Consider the following 18,809-nt stretch of genomic DNA (forward strand, 5'->3'; position numbering starts at 1 on the left):
TCATTTTCATCCTTAAAGACTCAGATTAATGTCACATCTCAGAGAAGCATTCTCTGATTATTTTAACACCATCAGTATTCTGTGCACTATATCCTGTTACACTATTGCACTTATTTATGTATATGTTTATTATCTGCCTATGTCCACTGGAATATAAGCTCTTTGAGGTCAAAGAATTTGATTATTGTGTATCCTTAATGCCTAATAGACAGCATCTCATAACAAGTGCTCTGCAAGAATTGCAAGAATCTGTTGACTCTCTGAATAAATCTAAATTGTTATAAACACATCATTTTCCTCTTTGTCTCAAATCGCTTCCTTCAAACCACTTTCCTTGCAAATTAAACTTCTTGAAAATCAACTTCTTGTGTTCAAAAGCATGCAGTAGCTTTGCTTTCTAAAAGAATTACATTCCAAACTTCTCTTCCTGAATTTCAAGAGACCAATTTTCTTAACTCACTCTTCTTATGCAAACTTTTTAGTCACTGTTCACCAAAATGAGCGCTTAGCTGAAAAACCAGTCTCTCTACTTTTTTTTTAGACGGAGTTTCACTCTTGTTGCCCAGGATCTCGGCTCACCGCAACATCCACCTCCCGGGTTCAAGCGATTCTCCTGCCTCAGCCTCCCGAGTGGCTGCTATTACAGGCATGCGCCACCATGCCTGGCTATTTTTGTATTTTTAGTAGAGAGTGGTTGCTCCATGTTGGTCAAGCTGGTCTCAAACTCCCGACCTCAGGTGATCTGCCTGCCTCGGCTTCCCAAAGTGCTGGCAGTCTCTCTGCTTCTGAGATGGTTCCTTTTTAGTTTCTTATCTTGGCTATTGTCCTTCCCATGAGAAAGTCTCACCCAGTTCTGCATGGTTCAAGTCCCATCTCCCCAACAGATAACTACCCCACCCTAGAGAAAGCTCTTCGTTTTCTGCCATATGTATATTTTATTTTATATTGTCATCAGATTAGTATAACATATATCCTATTTCATCTTTGTGTAGAAAATCTCCAGAAAGTCAAGCCTGAATCCTACTATTAAAATACCCCCTCGATCTTCAATCATATTATTCCGCAAATAGTACATCTATTTAATTCAAAATTAATGAGGGACTAGAATGATACCCTATGGATTTAATAAGGAATTATAATTTTTTAGTATTAAAATATAGTAAGCAGTTTATGTTATTAACAATAATGTGTCCCCAGACTTATTCCAGGATTGCAGACATAAGTGTTTAGGATGGCCATACGAGTTATAAAAATTGGAGAAGAGGGCCTGATGTATGAATATCAGACACAGAGGAATATTCTGTACTTAAAGAATTAAACATGTTCTTTATTTTTCTTGAAACATATGGGCTTTTCAGATTATCTTTTCTTTTAGCTTTACTAGCCATGGTGACAGAGAAATGTTTATTTACTGTAAACAATAGTAAAAGCAAGAGTAATGACAAATAGCGACTGCTGTTTGGACTCATTGTTAGGAAACCAGTGAGATATGGTGGGGATTATGAATCACTGTAGCTACACAATTCCTCCAAGGAGGGCAACAGTAGGATGTTCAGGGGATATTGCAGTATAAAAATAGAGGCCCAGTGTTCATCAAACTTCTATTTTTTTTTCACTGTGGGCCAAAAATGCATTATCTTCCACTTTAAATCATCCAACTTTTAAAGACTCAGATCAATGTCCCATCTCAGAGAGTTCAACAGATCTGGGTCCCAAATCTGCAATCTTGATTGTGTACATTTGCAATACTGACTCATAAAATGTACTATGTTGTTAATCAATTGAGCTACAGGAATAGGCACTTCATGCTCCCTGTTTTATCTTCTTTTTCCATAAGGGTTTAACGTACATTCATTTTTTTTCCCTCCTTTTCAACATTAGTCTTGATAAATTACCAAAAGATGAATTTAAAAGTTTGGTATGTATTTTCTCATAACAAAAGTAACATACATCTCTAAAAATGTGGAAAATACTCAAAAACACATATAAAGTATAATAATAATTATTCTATACACATGATTTTTATTCATTTTCTTCTATATTTAATTTATTATATTCGATTAACATAATAGTCATGGGTTTATTTTTTATAAAAAGAATTTCTCCATTAAATTAAAGATTCTTAGTAAGCATCATTTTAATGTCTTCATAGATTTCTTTTTTTTTTTTTTTTTTTGAGATGCAGTCTCACTCTGTCATCCAGGCTGGAGTGCAGTGGCACGATCTCAGCTCACTACAAGCTCCACCTCCCGGGTTCATGCCATTCTCCTGCTTCAGCCTCCCAAGTAGCTGGGACTACAGGTGCCTGACACCATGCCTAGCTATTTTTTTTGTATTTTTTTTTTGTAGAGATGGGGTTTCACTGTGTTAGCCAGGATGGTCTCGATCTCCCGACCTCAGGTGATCTGCCTGCCTCGGCCTCCCAAAGTGCTGGGATTACAGGCGTGAGCCACCATGACCAGCTGATAGATCTCTATTACTTGGATGTGCCATAATTTATTTAGTCCCTCCTCTATCTATAGACAATTAGGTTGCTTCCAGGATTTTTCCTTATAATGAATAATGTTGAAATTAACATTTTTGTATATAAACTCTGTCTTTATTGTAAATTGTTTTATGAGAAATAGTCAATGGAGTCAAACATATGAATATTTTTGAGGCCAAATTGATTTCCAAAAACATTTTGCCAATTTATAATGCCATCAGAAATTTGAGAGTGTATGTTTACTGCACCCAAGACATTTGGATATTCTCATGAATGAAAGTTTAAAGGTAATTGATTATTTCATGTTTTCACTCCTCTCTTCAAGTCTCTCTTATCTCTGACTTATCTCAGCAGACCACTTTTTTTATTTATGGTGAAAATTGAGGATTCCTATCCCTCTATCTACAAAATTAAGTTATTACCCATTTCCATTTTCCTCAATGGAAGAAATGACCTTTATCCTAAGACTAATACCACCACATGTGCATTAGTTTTCACCTCTCCATATATCCTTTAAGATCATGTTCTCTCAGGCATACTTTTTTTCTTCAATATTTTCAATATATCCTACTCTTTTGGTTCTTTCCTCATAGCGTATAATAATACTTAAATTTGTTTCATGAAAAATCCTTTCCTCATCCTAGTTTTCCCTTCTAGTCCAAATGGGCTCTTTTTAGGAACCATTCTCCTTGTCCTCTATGATCCTTTAATACTCCCTAACCCTAATCCCACCTAGGTATACCTTCCTAGATACAGGAGACAGACAGATTGAAGGAGGTTGCAGCCAAATTTCTGCCTCAACAGAGCTGGCAGTTGAGGCCAAGATCTGGCAGTAGTGGAAGAGAAAGAAGACTGATATGGTCAGTAAGTGTACTGAAAAAAGGAATAACCTATCAGTTAGTGATTGCAGAACATAAGGACTTAACATAAATAGTTTAAAGCAGCAGAAAACAAACATGGTAGTAGAAGGAGTAATTAGGGAGAGAAGAAAACACCTGTAATGACGGATGGGAACTATAAAATATTGAGACTAGCAAGTCTGCTTTATTCAATAACTTATTTAATTAACTCATATTAAACACTTTCTACATGCAAGGCAGTGGGAATATAGTGCATAAGGGGGTATATAATTCATTGTCAGTACCAACAGAAGCAAAAAATTTGGAATGATAGAAGCCAATACAGAAACAGATTGGTAAGGGGTCTTCAGAAGGTTTAGGGGGCTCAAAATGCTTGGTGAGTACTGCATCAAATGGATTCTGATATCAACAATAGCAAAAAGGCCAGTGAAATTAATTTTGCAATAATACAAGGTATGAAGGCAGAAAATAATGGCAAAAGAATGGGTGATAGACCAGATGGAGGAAAAATTGAGAAGTAGAAGCTTCAAAGGGTTGGTAGGGACAGTGGTGGGGCTGGAATGCTGGGACATAGTTTCTGATGAAAGCAACTTTGGAAGATGCCAGTGATGATCATACAGTCAATTTGGATTTTGATCCTGTTTGAAATAAAGACAAGATAATGCCAATGTAATTATTTGCTTGTCTAAAACATATTCTCCAACACAGAGGATAAAATAGTCATTAAAAATTCAAATACATTATGGTGACATATAGATATTTGTCTCCATATTGGAACTGCAAAGCTAATGCAGACTGCATAACATCAGATCATCTCAGATTTCAAGATTGGCTTGATCCCAGAAGATGTAACATATTACAATTTCCTGGTGTAAATAAAAGGGCTCAGACATATTGATCGACATAACATGATTCCTTGATGGAGCCTATCAAAATAAATCAGAAGCACATCCATCAAATGTCATTTGAAATATTTCAGGGTTTAATCTCTCAAGAGAAAATGATTTCCATTCTAATTAAGTTTCCTGAATTTGAAATCCAACCAGAGCAACACAAATCCAATCAAAGCCCTCTTCACTAATTTAAGATTGTGACAATATCTCCATGTGGAACTGGATGGCCACAAGGCCAATTAGATCATTTTGTCCTTTTTCACTACCATTGCCCTCAGCCAAATCAACAGAGCGAGAATTCCCATAATCTCCAAGGTGTTCACAATGATCAGATCAGTGACACGACTGTTCAAGACCTACTCTGACAATGTTCTGAAGCCTGAAAGTAGGATAAGGAAAGCAGGCAGTAGACAGTATCTTCTCGGAAAATTGGAGGTCGAAGGGCTGTGTTCAAGTCTAGGTTGGACAAAAAGCCATATGTATAACCTAATTTGCTGTGAATGAGAAGTTACTTAATGACTGAAAAAATTTCTGACAGCTACATAGCTACATTGGTGTTGTGGAATAGTGAATATAAAGGAAGATATTGAAATTTCCATCTGAGATAGAGAGCAATTAGTATTTAGATCTTGGAAGAATATTAAAAGGAATTATGATATGAAGTACAGTGACATTGTGCAGGGACATAGAAGGTCAAAAAACTTGAACTTCAGTGGCTCTTTAATATGAATATCACACACACCTAATAATTTTTAATTGGTTGGCTGGCTTATTGATTGACTAGTTTACCTGGCCAAATGCAAGGCTTAGAATTATGATTTTTAATCTTGTTGGATGTTCAATAAGGAAACTCTTTGGTTGGGGAAAACTGAACCTTCCTGCTGAGATGGTAGACTCTCTTGGTTCAGTTTCCATTTCAGAATAGTACCATATTTATCAAATAATTTCTTTAAGTAGCATTTGAGGAATTTATGGGATTTTAACTTTACTCATTTTTTACTCAAGTGATAAAACATTTGTTATATCCAAAATAATTTATATACATAAATGTACATTATAAAGCATACTAATTTGTAATACAAATATTATAAAGAAAAAATAAATCTCATTTACATTTCTATCTATATGCACTGCGCCCTTGCCCTGTACAAATAGAAGATATCATCATAAAAATAATTTCATTAAAAATGAAAAAAACCATTGTTTTAGTGTTTGCCGAAGTAACTCTTTTCTGTTTGCCTCCAGGTCATGAGGGATATCATCATATTACTTTCACAAAGTAATATTCTATTTTGGAAAATTCCAAACATACAAAGTACGATATTCTGAACCTTATAGGAAAACCTTAAAATGTTGACATCTCAAGCTTTGTTTCTTGAATAAAATGTTATTTTCATCAACCTCAAATCAGATCATTGAGAAAAGACTCCACGTTTTCATGGGCATGAGCATACATTTTGGAATCAGCTTCTGTGTTTATACCCTGGCTCTACCATTAATTAGTTATGATACCTTGGGCAAGTTACTTAGCCTTTATGATGCCTCATTTTATTCATCTGAAGAATAGTTATAATATTAGTTCCAACCTAGAGATGTTGTGGATTGATGAGACAAGTGAATAAGAACTGTAACAGTACATAGTAAGTGTTGGATATGTTTTTTAAATCTCTCTAAGGAAAATAGACATTCCAAGGGCCTTGGAATTGAGGCATGCATAGACAGAAAATCACAAGCAGATATGACTTATATTTGTGGGACAATGAATGCATAACACACGAAACTCTGCTTAAGTTTAGGTTTTAAAATATAGAAGGCATGTAGTGTAACTATCACGGAAAACAGTATGAAGGTTCCTAAAAAAATTAAAAGCAGAACTACCATATGATCCAGCAATCCCACTACAGGTATAGTCAAAGGAAATGAAAACAGTATCTCACAGAGCTATCTCTACTCTCATGTTCATTGCAGTGTTATTCACAATAGCCAAGATATAGAAACAATCTAAGTGTCTTAAGTGTCCTTTGGCAGATGAATGTATAAGATTTCATCTTTATATATATATTACATCATATATATTACATTTATATTATATTACTTTATACACACACACACACACACACACACACACACACAATGGAATATTGTTTGGTCTAAAAATAAAGAAAATCCTGAACATGAATGAACCTGGAAGACATTACGCCAAATGAGATAAGCCAGGCAAAGAAAGACAAATACTGCATGGTCTCATTCATATGTAGAATCTAAAAAAATATAACTCATAAAATCAGGGAGTAGAATGGTGGTTGTCAGAGACTGGGGGTTGGGGGAAGTGGGGAGATGTTGGTCAAAGAGTACAAAAAGTTTTAGTTGTGTAGGATGAGTAAGTTCTGGAGCTCTAATGTCCAGTAAGGTGACTATAGCTTACTGCATTCTACACTTGAAATTTGCTGAGGGTGGATCTTAAATGTTCTCACCACACACACAAAGGTAACTATGTGAGGTGATGGATATATTAATTAACTTGACTTTGGTGATTATTTCACAACATATATGTATCTCAAAACATCACTTCATATATCTTAAAAAAATAGAGGGCAGGTCCCTACTTTTATCATACTAAGCAGATTGAAATAACAGACACTGTAATACAAATTTAGAGAATATGTAAATATCTATCATCCCAAGCTCTTGCCAGGATGAGGTGTTTAAAGACTAAGGGAACCCTGGGAGTCCATTAAAAGTCTCTGCAATAGGCTTGGCACAGTGGCTCACATCTGTAATCCCAGCACTTTGGGAGGCCGAGGCGGAAGGATCCCTTGAGTCCTGGAGTTCAAGACAAGCCTGGGCAACATGACAAAACCTTGTCCCTACAAAAAATTAGGTGGGCGTGGTGGTGCATGCGTGTAGTCCCAGCTACTAGGGAGGCTGAGGTGGGAGGATCATCTGAGCATGGGAGGTGGAGTCTGCAGTGAATTGTGACTGCACCACTGCACTCCAGCCTGGGTAAGACCCTGTCTCAAAAAAAGAAGTCTCTGTAATTGAGTTATATGAATATCCCAACTACTGCACTAGGTCTGGCAATCCAACATGGACTATTTGCATTCCTGCCTGTGATTTCCACAAAATTATGACACTCAGCATCCACTTTAACAATATGTGCATAGGTAGCATCTGAGGAATCTGTCTAGCAACTATTCTTCTTTTCTTCTAATAAATGGCCCCTGTCTCCCTTTTTGCATGGCATAGAGATGGAACTGTCAGTCAGGATGTCCCATCTTTCCTAGCCAAGGGATCAGCCAGGACAATTGAATTTTCCCTTCAGGAATTGAATCTTGAGTGGAGTGACTCAAGGGCTAAAATGGTTGTTGTCAATTCTTTCAGATGGCCATACCCAGTACCCTGTATTAGTCCATTCTCACACTGCTATAAAGATACTACCCGAGATTGGGTAATTTATAAAGCAAAGAGGTTTAAATGACTCACAATTCCACTTGGTTGGGGAGGTCCTCAAGAAACTTATAATCATGGTGGAAGGCGAAGGGGAAGCAAGGACCTTCTTCACATGGTGGCAGGAGAGAAGAGTGAAGGAAGAACTTCCAAACACTTATTAAAACATCATGTCTCGTGAGAACTCACTCACGATCATGATAACAGCATGGGGGAACCACCCTCATAATCCAACCACCCCCCTCTCTCGACACGTGGGGAGTATAGCATGAGGATTATAATTCAAGATGAGAGTTGGGTGGGGACACAGATCCAAACCATATCAACACAGAAGAGATTGTTTTTGTTTGTTTGGTTGATTTTTTGCAACTGAGAACCCTAGTGCTATTCTGCTTTCTGCTTCTTCCAAAGCCTGTTTCTGAACTTTTTCTTTGGGTGTATGAACTACCAAACATCCTTATGATAATGTTATTATTTTTAACTTAGAATATATTTCTGTTTTATGCAAACAACACCAAATATCAAGAGGTATTAATATAGTGAAGTTCACTTCATGGTTTTCCCTATTTTCTTTGATGGTTGATGTAAATTCTTAAAACACAATGTACCAAAAAGAAAGGATATATTTAATTTTTGAAATAAATATTTTTAATACAAGTAAATATTTGTAATAGAAGATCAGCACTGAGCAGACTAATAGAATAGATGATGTATGATATAGCGGAGAAAGCCAGATGGGAAGAGCTCTTCTTCAAATTTGCCCCAGGAATTGAGTATTCCTCTTATATTTTCTTGTTAAGGACCTTGATCAAGTCACTTAACCTCTCTTTTGGAGTCAGTTTCCTCATATGTAATGTGGAGATAATAATGCTATTATTAAAAAGTTCCTATAGTTACTGACTGAGATGATGCATATGAAAGTGTCTGGCATATAACTTATGAACTTTATAAATAAAAGTCATTTATTATTATCTAAAGAATTATTCAGGTATTTCTCCTTTAGCAGAGAGCAAGGTCTCTATCTATCTTCATTGCTACTATATCTCTAGTTCCAAGCACAATGCTTAACATAAATGATGCTACTTAAATATTTGTTGAATAAATGAGTAAAATAAATAAAAGCAAAATAATAAACAGAGCCATTTTGGAGATTACATCACCCTTGATATTTAATTTGTTTCTGGTTTTATTCTAGTTAGAATTTAGAAATTACTAATTTTCATAGATAATATTTTAAATACATGTATCTTGAAGTTTTAGGATTTACTGCAATTACTGAGTAGTTAGAAAGAGGGGCAGTGGGAAAATTATCCTTTAGCTGTTGAATATTCTACCACTTGTTAGCATTTCTTATAAATGTCAACGTAAGAGGAGAATAGGGGCTTAGAAATATTGTCCCTGTTCAGTGTTAGGTGCCCACTCATTGTCCACAGCATATCAGAAACATGCATGTGTCCTTATCATTTAATGGGTGCTCCTTTTTTTGTCCTACTTTTCTTGTTTGTCCTATTTTTACCCTAGCAAACTTACAGAGACTTGCATTTTAGAAGAAAGACTTAGGGAATACTGTAAAGTTTCTAAGTAATGGCATATATACAAGTTCACATACACTCTTAGACTTAATAGTAGTTACATTATTCCAGGGCTTACACACACAAAAATGAAATGGTCAGGCTAGCAGGATACAACCCTTTGGGGAGTATACATTATGTTAAAAATGTAGTATGCATGCCTGTAATCCTAGCACTTTAGGAGGCTGAGGTGGACAGATTACTTAAGCCCAGAAGTTCTAGACCAGCCTGGGCAACATGGAAAACCTTGTCTCTACAAACAAACAAACAAACAAACACAAAACATACAAACCCAGGCATGGTGATGTGCACCTGTAGTCCCAGCTTGGGGGACTGCAGAAGGAGGATCAGCTGAGATTGGGAGGTTGAAGCTGCAGTGAGACGAGATTGCACCACTGCACTCCAGTCTGGGTGACAGAATGAGAACCTTTCTCCAAAAAAAAAAAAAAAAAAGTGTATCTAAATATTTGGTTTTATACATTTTTTCAAATATTGCTGTTTTAGAATACTTAATTATATTTAGCATTAGTTGAGTGTTATGGCACAAATGATACATGCTAATTTAGGTCACATTAACAAAATTATAAGAATGTTACAGATGATTTTATTGTTAACATAAACATTATTAATCATTGGTTCAACATATCTATAAACACATTTGTATATGTGGTTTGTTTATATATATGCACTATATAGTGGTATAAATAATATTGTTTTATCAAAAACTTATATGCATAATAAAAATCCAAGTGATAAAAGTATATTCAATGTAAACTAAGTTTCCCTCCAAAGGCAGACTACCAAGACCCACTTCCTGAGTGCCAAAGTCCTACTCTTCAGAGAAAATCGCCATCGCTACTTTTCTCCTTATTCTTGCAGAAATGCCCAACATATATGAGTTATTTATGTGTATCACTTTTTAAAATTCAATATCAGAGCACTTTTCTGCACTGTGCTTTTTTTTAACCATTTTATCATGGAGATTTTATTCCATATCAGCACATATTAAATGATATATCTAACAATGAAATATGAATCAAAATGTAGTGTAACCCCTGAAGCACCAAGACATGATTCTCCTGCTGATAGAATCCTACTTCACATTTTAGGGATGAGGAGACAGGCTCAAGAAGGTAATGTGAAAATGAAACAGTGGCCGGGCGTGGTGGCTCACGCCTGTAATCCCAACACTTTGGGAGGCTGAGGTGGGTGGATCACGAGGTCAGGAGATCGAGAGCATCCTGGCCAACATAGTGAAACCCCGTTTCTACTAAAAATATTAGCTGGGTGTGGTGGTGCATGCCTGTAGTCCCAGCTACTCGGGAGGCTGAGGCAGGAGAATTTCTTGAACCTGGGAGGTGGAGGTTGCAGTGAGCCAAGAGTATTCTAAGTCTGGTGACAACCCCCTTTTAAGCTAATTTATCCAAAACCCTTATTTCCCTCGCTTCTTTTTAATTCTTTCTTTGAACTATTGCGTTTCATGTTGAGTTTATCCATCAATATATTGCACCTGTCAGTCAAGTGGACATATTTTTTAAGAACACATTGTACAGGGAACCACTTGAGCACTGAATGCAGAGGAAGCAGTGTTACCTCGGTTTTGCTGGAAGTAGGCTTCTTGGATAGTTTTCTTTCTTTGATGAAGTTTCTGTATTTTCATGTTTTAAGTGGAAATACTTTTTTTTTTTTTTTAATTTGCCTTGGAGCCAATGTATTTGTTCCTGGTGGTAGGGAAACTGTGCCTGCGGGCCACAGGACTTAAAGGAAAACTGTGGTATGGAGCTCTGCTTGAATTAAAAACTTTTTTTTTTCTTTGAGTATCCTTAGCTACTTATCTGGCAAGTGCAGGACCCAGGTGTTGGCCTGAACTCTGCCAAACATATGTAACACTTAAATGTGTGCAGTTTCCCTTCTTGCTACATCCATGTTGTCACTTAACCCCCAGGAGGTTTTTATTATCTTTTTGTTAATGTCAGGCTGTGAGGTACGTGGATGTGATTTGGTCAAGGAATAGGCCTGGGCAGATACCCAGGCCTGCATGACTCACTGAGTTTGGCATGCAAGCACACACCTCCACTTATTATGTAACCTGTTTTTGTAAGTTCATATTTGGCTTTGAGCCACTATTGCTGTAAAAGGTATAACTGCCCTGTTGACACTGTGCACAAGAGACATGGCTCTTGGGGCTCGGCTCAGCTCAACATGGCTTGACATGGTGGGTGCGCTGGCGCCCAGAGAAAGAGAGAGTCAGAGCTTTCCATCTTTGCAGACAGAGGGGATCCAGGATACAGCTCGGCTTGATCGTGCCCAGAGAAAGAGTTAAGCTGCTGACCCTAAAGCCAAGGGAGAGCAGGCCGTGCAGTTGCAGGTGTGGGGGCAGCAGGAGCCACAGAGCCAAAGCAGACAGCCGAGATACGGGCGAACAGTGTAGAGAGCTAGTGTGAGAAAGCTGTTGATGAGAGCTGCTGCTGAATAAAATCATTTTTCACCTGCCTACGGCCCCCCGAGTGTTCTTTCTGCTTACCCACCCACTCCCTCCAGACCTCAACATGACCTTTGGCGTAGTCATGTACCTGACAATTGCGACGTTGGCAGGATGAAGTGAGTAGGTCTTTGGCCCCTGAGGGCTCCTGGGTCAGCTATGTGGCTGCAGCACGGGCTGTACCCAGGGGCAGCGGTGCTGCTTGGATGAGCCCCAGTGGAAACGCGGGAGGCAGTGGAGAGGTCTCCTGCAAGTGTGCGAGCACACAGCACCAAGAAGGAATGCACCTTTGCTGGCAGCGTCGGATGGGCGTTTCTGACAGCACTGCAGGAAGTACATGCTCAGTTCCACAGGTAAGGGACCTCCCAGGACAAGCTGAGCACCTGGGGGCCCAAGTGCACAGCTTGGAGCAGGACCTGGGGGTGGGGGACCTCCAGGTGCAAGCAGGGCACTTAGAGGCCCAGATAAATAGCCAGGAACAGGATTTAGCAACAGCTGTCAGCCCGGCCTTGAGCCCATCCTCCTGGCGGGACACTCCGATTCAGTCTGATGCTGAGGAGGAGGTTCCTCCACTGCTGGATCACCCTGTGATCCATCAGAAGGTAGAACATGAGCAGCCAATGGGACCGCAGGCGAGATCCCAGGACCCCTCACAGTGGTGGCACATACCTCTTATAGTGCTTATACCCCCACTGATTTGAGGGAAGTAGGTAAACAGTCTGGCAGCGTCTGAAGGAGCTGATAGCATTTCTTGCTCCGCCTCTGAGATGGAGAATCTGGCTTCTATCACAACTCACCCTTCCCTTCATCGGCGGCTGCAGCTGTGCCAACGGTTAACACAAGGGCAAAGTGACTACATGTAAATCAAGTGGCTGACGGCAGCCATACGGACTGTTTGGAATGATGCCAGAGAGACCCCAGAAACTGTGAGTAAATGGCAATCATATACTGATTTGGTGCAGGTGCTCCGGGAGACGGATATGCAATATGCAGCAGGCTGTTTGATCAGAATATCTGGGGCCAGATGATGAACGCTTTACCTCCCCTATGAGGGATCTTGTGCTGAGTTCAGCACCCCCGGATGCTTTGGCCCTCTAGCTGCTGTTCTCACCCCGTATGTAGGACACCGCATACACAAAGTGACTATTGCTATGGCAGCCCTTGGGGAGGCAGAAGGCCATTGGCGGGACCTGGGAGTCCACGCCGTAAAGAAATGGAAGGTGCACCCTTCACAAGTAACCATCCACGAGATTAAAAGGGGCCCAGGCGGGTGACCCACATGCGGATGTGGATTGATTTACTTGCAGCTGGGGTTACTAGAGAGAAAATTGACAGGCAACCCAATGGAATGCTGTTGGCTCTGTGGAGGCAATCGTCCCCAGAGCTGCAATTCTGAAGAATGCCCAAGGAGGGGCAAGACAATGTTGTTCAACCCAGCCCCACCTGGAAACTTTTCAGCTCAAGGACTATTTGCAGATGGGAGAAGACATTAGGCCTTTCCTGTTTGATTAGGGAACTGGCTGAGTTGCCCAACTCAGGGGAACTGGACAACTGGAGGCTATATGAGGAGCTGGCAATCCTCTGGTCCCCTACTAATGTACAGCGGGCCCTAGCACTGGTAGACACTGGTGCAGACTGCAGTCTAGTTTATGGGAACCTGGATAAGTTTCTGGGAAAAGCTGCATTCATTGACAGTTATGGGGGCCAATCTGTGATGGTGAATCTATATTGGCATTGGCTACTCTGCTATCCACCTGTACACTCTGTATGTTTCTCCTATACATGAATATATTCTGGGGGTGGACATTTTGCATGATCTGGACTTACACACCACAGCCAGAGAATTTGGAATCCTGGTTCGTGTAGTAAAGCCAGTACTCCATACACATCACCAGCCCCAAGTTCTGCCACAACCCCAACAACTTACTTCCACTCATCAATACCGTTTACTGGGGGGCGGCGGGGGAGCACACAGAGATAACTGAGACTAATAAGAAGTTAGAGGAGGTGCACCCATAACCCCTATGATTCTCTAGTATAACCAGTCAAAAAGCCTGATGGAACTTGGCAGATGACAGTGGATTATCAGGAACTGAATAAAGCAACATCCCCTCTGCATGCAGCTGGACCTTCCATCATAGACTTGATGGCTGTTTGACAATGGAACTGGGACAGTACCACTTTGTGATGGGACTTGGCTAATGCATTCTTCTCCATTGACATTGCTCCAGAGAGCCAGGAACAGTTTGCCTTCATGGGAGGGTGACGACGGACTTTCACAGTGTTGCTTCAGGGCTTATATGCATAGCCCCACCATATGTCATGGTCTTGTTAATAATGTTATATTCACTTCTGATTCTCTTGCAGGTTTAGAAGCAGCAATGCCCTTCTTGCCTGGGATTGGGATGATGCAGCTGAGACAGCCTTCCTGGTAGCCAAGTAGGCTATTCAGCAAGCACAAGCCCTATGGGTAGTTGACCAGAGGTGCCCATTTAAGCTAGATGTGCATGTGACCACAGATAGTTTCAGTTAGGGCCTATGGCAGTGCATGAGTGCCTGAGTATGCCAGTAGGCTTTTGGTCCCAATTATGCAAGGGAGCTGAGCTCCAGTATTCCTTGATACAGAAGCAGTTAGTAATAATAGGATGGGTGTGTTCATGGATAACCACCCCCTGGACAGGGAAAGCAGTTAGTAACTGTATATACTGCCCTTCAGGCTCATAAGAGCATGGCAGGAATGGCTACAATCATCAGGCAGACAACTTTCCCAACAGTGGGGTGGGTACACTCGTGGGTAATGACCCCATCGACTGGGACAGCACAGACATCCACTTTAGCAAAGTGGGGAGCCTACTTACAGCAGTAAAGTACACTGATTACAAGTCCCTTAGCAGTAGAGTTACAGGAAGTCTTGGGACCTGTAGTCCTAATGCCAAGTAAGGCCATGGGGCCTGAGGCACCCCTAAACCCTAAGCCTTCATCATTAGGAAGGGCATTCTCCCATTCCTAATAGGGCTTGGTACACAGATATGTGTAGGCAGGGAGCTACTGCTGCCTGGATTGCTGCCACAGTCCAGCCTAGTACTAACACCATATGGGTTAAAACCAGGTGTAGGCAAAGTAGCTAATGAGCTGCACTCAGGGCAATGTGAACAGTAATCACCAATGTTGCAACACCTATGGTAATCTGTGCCAACAGCCGAGCAGTTTATTGAAGCTTATGTATGTGATGGGCTTGTGTGCCCAGAGCCTATGTATAAGGCTTATGTGTCAGGCCTATGTGCCCAGAAGCCTATGTGTATGTATCAGGCCTGTGTGCCCAAAGCTTATATGCCAGGCCTGTGTGCCAAACCTGTGTATAAAACCTGTGTGTCCAGGGCCTATGTTTCCCTCAGCCTAGGGGGTGGAGTGTAAGGTACATGGATGTGCTTTGGTCAAGGAATAGGCCAAGGTGGATATCCAAGCGAGTTTGGTGCGTGAGTGTGCACCTCCACTTGTTATATAACTTGTTTGTGTAAGTTCATACTTGGCTCTGAGCCACTATTGCTGTAAAAGGTAGAACTGCCCTGTCGACACTGTGCACAAGAGACATGGCTCTTGGGGCTCGGCTCAGCTCAACATGGCTTGACATGGCGGGCGTGCTGGCGTCCACAGAAAGAGAGAGTCAGGGCTGTCCATATTTGCAGATGCTCCCTGGGGAGCCAGGATACAGCTTGGATTGCTTGTGCCCAGAGAAAGAGTTAAGCTGTTGACCCTGAGGCCAAGGGAGAGCAGGCCATACAGCTGCAGGTGTCGGGGCAGCAGGGGCCACAGAGCGGGAGCAGACAGCCGAGACACAGGCGAACAGTGTAGAGAGCTAGCGTGAGAAAGCTGTTGATGAGAAGTGCTGCTGAATAAAATCATCTTTCACCTGCCTACGGCCCCCCGAGTGTTCTTTCTGCTTGCCCACCCACTCCCTCCAGACCTCATCATGACCTTTGGCATAGTCGTGAACCTGATACAGGCTCATTTGGCGGTAATGAGATATGTGATAACTGTTTTAGGTTTATATGACCCTCCTCTCCTTTCCCTCCCCCTAAATATGTGTGTGTATGTATACATATATATTATGTATATACTGTATTCCTTTGTTTCTTTGTCTACTAAAACCAACCATAAAGGAGGGAGCTGCCTTCAATACCTAAAGTATAAGAAGGGTGCCGGGGAATGTCATAATGGAGGCTTTCCCAACTGAATTTGAATTATTTCACTAAAGAGAACATGAGTTGACTCAGCCCTTTCCTCACAGGAGGGAGGGTTCAATTCCCCTGACTTCACACACTCACTCCATAAGGCCTGCTTTGGCAAAACTGCCACAGGGGCCTGTGGAGCTGACTCTGGTCCTACCTGGTTTCAGTAGAAGGTCCACTTTTTGTTTTTCTGTTTAAAAAAATATGTCCTATGTGTCCTCAGAAAACTGTACTGGAAGAGTGGGTGGAAGGAACTTGTATAGGTCAGCTTCCAACACTTTGGAATAGATTAAAAAGAGAATCTTTTAAATGAAAACTTAAAAAATAACAAATAAAAGGGCAATATAACAACCGGGCTGTAGAGAAGACAGTGTCTCAGGTATTACAGAGGCCTAAAGAGAACCTGTGAGGAAGACAATTATGAACCTTACCTCAAATTGTAGTAGCTTAGTTAATTAATTAGTATTACAGCACTTATGACCAATGAAGGATAGATGTTTGTAATACGTAATGTTTTCATATAAATAAAAAGTCACAAAGGACTCAAAACACAAATGGCAAATAGGCAAAATATTTAAGGGATACCTCAAAAGTGATAGAATATGATTAGTAAATATTTTTAAAACAAGTTCAGCTTTACTAGAAAGAAAAAATGAATTAAACAATGTTGTATCATATTTTGCTTAGCATATCAGCAAACATTTTAAAAGTCTATAAACCAAAGTTGTTGCATTGTAGTGCAAAAATAAATATTTGTCAGATGACTCAATAAGTGGAGAGATGGATTGATGACTATTAGGGAAAACATCACATACAAAACCATGGTTGAAATCTATGCATATGAATTAAGGTACATATAGATGCATGGAAAAGTACTTGTGGGATGATATTCATTGCTCTTTAGGTTCCTTGTCTGTAAAATGAAAATAAATGCATTACTTAGGGTTCTTTTGTAATTTTTCCCTAATTTTCTTTATCCCCCAAGTTTCTGTTATAGTGTTAAATTTCCTGTATTTTTGAAATAAAACTGTAAAATAAGGGTTTAAAACTGTTTAAAAATGGGAAATTGGACATAAATTACTGTGGTGGACTGGGAGACTAGACAGAGTTCGAAGAATGGTAATAGAAGAGCTTGGATCCCACAATTGCCTGTAGTACAAATTAACGTATTAGCTATACCTAAACTTGAAAGGCAGACTATGGGGACTGAGCCCTGTAACTATAATCCAAGTCTTAGGGTCTAGTGGCAAGATTTTCAGGTCAATAGGAAGTAGTCCAACATGATCCATTTGAGAAGGACATCCTGAACAATGAGAATTCTATTTGTGATTTATCTCTACTGTAGCTGCATATTCACTGAAATATCTTTACTCTTAATGAAGCTTCCTTGTGCATTTGAATCAATAGAGAAGGCTGACCTGGAATGGAAAGGATGAGGGGAAGCAGCCCTGAGAAACAAACCAGAGAGAGAATGGGAAAGGCCAGGACTTGTAAGTTGAAAGAAAACTGAGACATAGCAGTAGTGAAGAGTTGGGAAGTAGAGCTGCTTGCATCGTCGAGCACCTAGAAGCTCTATGCAGTGTGGCTAAAAGTGTGCTCCTATTTCAGAACTACCAGAGTTCTTTCTAAAAATGTGGATTGCTGGGCTTAACTCAGAAATACTGAATCCCAGTCCCTGAGGATGTGCATTTTAAATGTTTCAAAGTGATTCTCATGCACTTTAGAAAGGTTTGAGAACAATCACACATCAGCATGCTTAAGAAACATCAGGAAGCTTATAAAGAAACTATGTATTCCCGGATCGGATCCCACCACTACAGTTTCTGATGCACTGAAGCTGGGATGCTGTCAGAGTCTATATTCTCAGCAAGCATCTTGGGTTTTTGAGGCAGGTCGTTTACAGATTATACTCTGGGAAACAATGTTACAGGTTCTTTGAATATAGTTAAATATTGGCATAAAAGAATCAGATGACCAGACTATGATTTGAAATTAAGCACAGCATCAGTAATGGCACATTAATTTCTTCTTTGCTTATTTATTTATGTTTATGACAGTCCAATCCTGGTGAATTTGTTTAACATTTAAATAGACATAATGTGAGAATTTTGTGAAATAATCTTGTTCTTCCCCACACTATCACTATGGGTTATAACAGCAGGGAGTGACTTTTGTGAGCTCACTTCCAGAATGGAAGAAGTGATTTCACCTGATGAATAAACCTCCCAGCATTCTTTAACAGTTGGGTGCAGCTGAAACCTGCATCAGGAGTAGCTAGTCTCATAGTATCAAACACCTTCTTTCTAGCTGACACAGCTTTTAAGACTGGAAACCTGAACAAAGTGAGAAAGAACTAGGCTCCCGAAAAAAAGAAAAGGAAAAAAGAAAGTTGAGTTCTCTTACTGGCTCCAGAAGGAACTCCTAAAAGTGAGTACCTAGTTCTTAGGTAACAAGTGATCGTTGATTGTCATTTGCCTGAACACAGGCTTGATACTGGTGGAGATCCAGGGAAATGAGCACTTCAAAACTCTCCTGGTGAAAATTTTGGATTTAGAGTAGCATAACTCAGTGGTAATTCAGACCTTGGACAAAAATGTGACACAAAGGGCCTCTTTTCTATCTCCTCCTCTCTTTCCCCACTCCACTCACCACACGCAGACATTTTAGTTATCTGTCATACTTTCCCTAGAAAGTAACAAACTGGATGGGCAAGGAATGTTCAAAGTAAAACCAGTATTTTAGGGTTAGGACAACAGGATTTGAGACTATGTAAAATTCTTTGTCACTTTCATTGATTTTGAGAAACGGCACTTTTTATTTTATTGTCATTTTCTTTTTTTGC

General features: G+C 40.0%; 1 protein-coding gene and 1 long non-coding RNA gene across 6 annotated transcripts in view; one reads left to right on the forward strand and one right to left on the reverse strand.

Annotated features, from left to right (window-relative positions):
* The window catches only part of UNC13C (unc-13 homolog C), a 795,839-nt gene that overhangs the window by 61,460 nt on the left and 715,570 nt on the right, over nt 1-18,809 (forward strand). The window contains exons 4-5 of one of the 4 annotated variants that reach the window (XM_047432538.1): nt 11,910-12,091; nt 14,106-18,394. The exons of 2 other annotated variants lie outside the window; for them this stretch is intronic. The gene's annotated coding sequence lies outside the window, so the exon portion shown is untranslated. The remainder of the gene's footprint in view (nt 1-11,909; nt 12,092-14,105; nt 18,395-18,809) is intronic. One more of the 4 variants, XM_017022220.2, reaches the window with a different exon arrangement.
* Nucleotides 3,827-12,516, reverse strand: LOC105370827 (uncharacterized). 2 transcript variants are annotated; one of them, XR_932272.3, is made up of 3 exons: nt 11,830-12,516; nt 9,549-9,687; nt 3,827-3,983 (listed from the first exon to the last, which is right to left on the reverse strand). It is a non-coding gene; the product is annotated as an uncharacterized LOC105370827 (long non-coding RNA). The 2 variants fall into 2 exon arrangements; XR_932274.3 differs by having other exon boundaries at nt 9,549-9,683; nt 11,830-12,053.

The sequence above is a fragment of the Homo sapiens genome, chromosome 15 (genome assembly GCF_000001405.40).
Source record: "Homo sapiens chromosome 15, GRCh38.p14 Primary Assembly".
NCBI classification, from domain to species: Eukaryota; Metazoa; Chordata; class Mammalia; order Primates; family Hominidae; genus Homo; species Homo sapiens.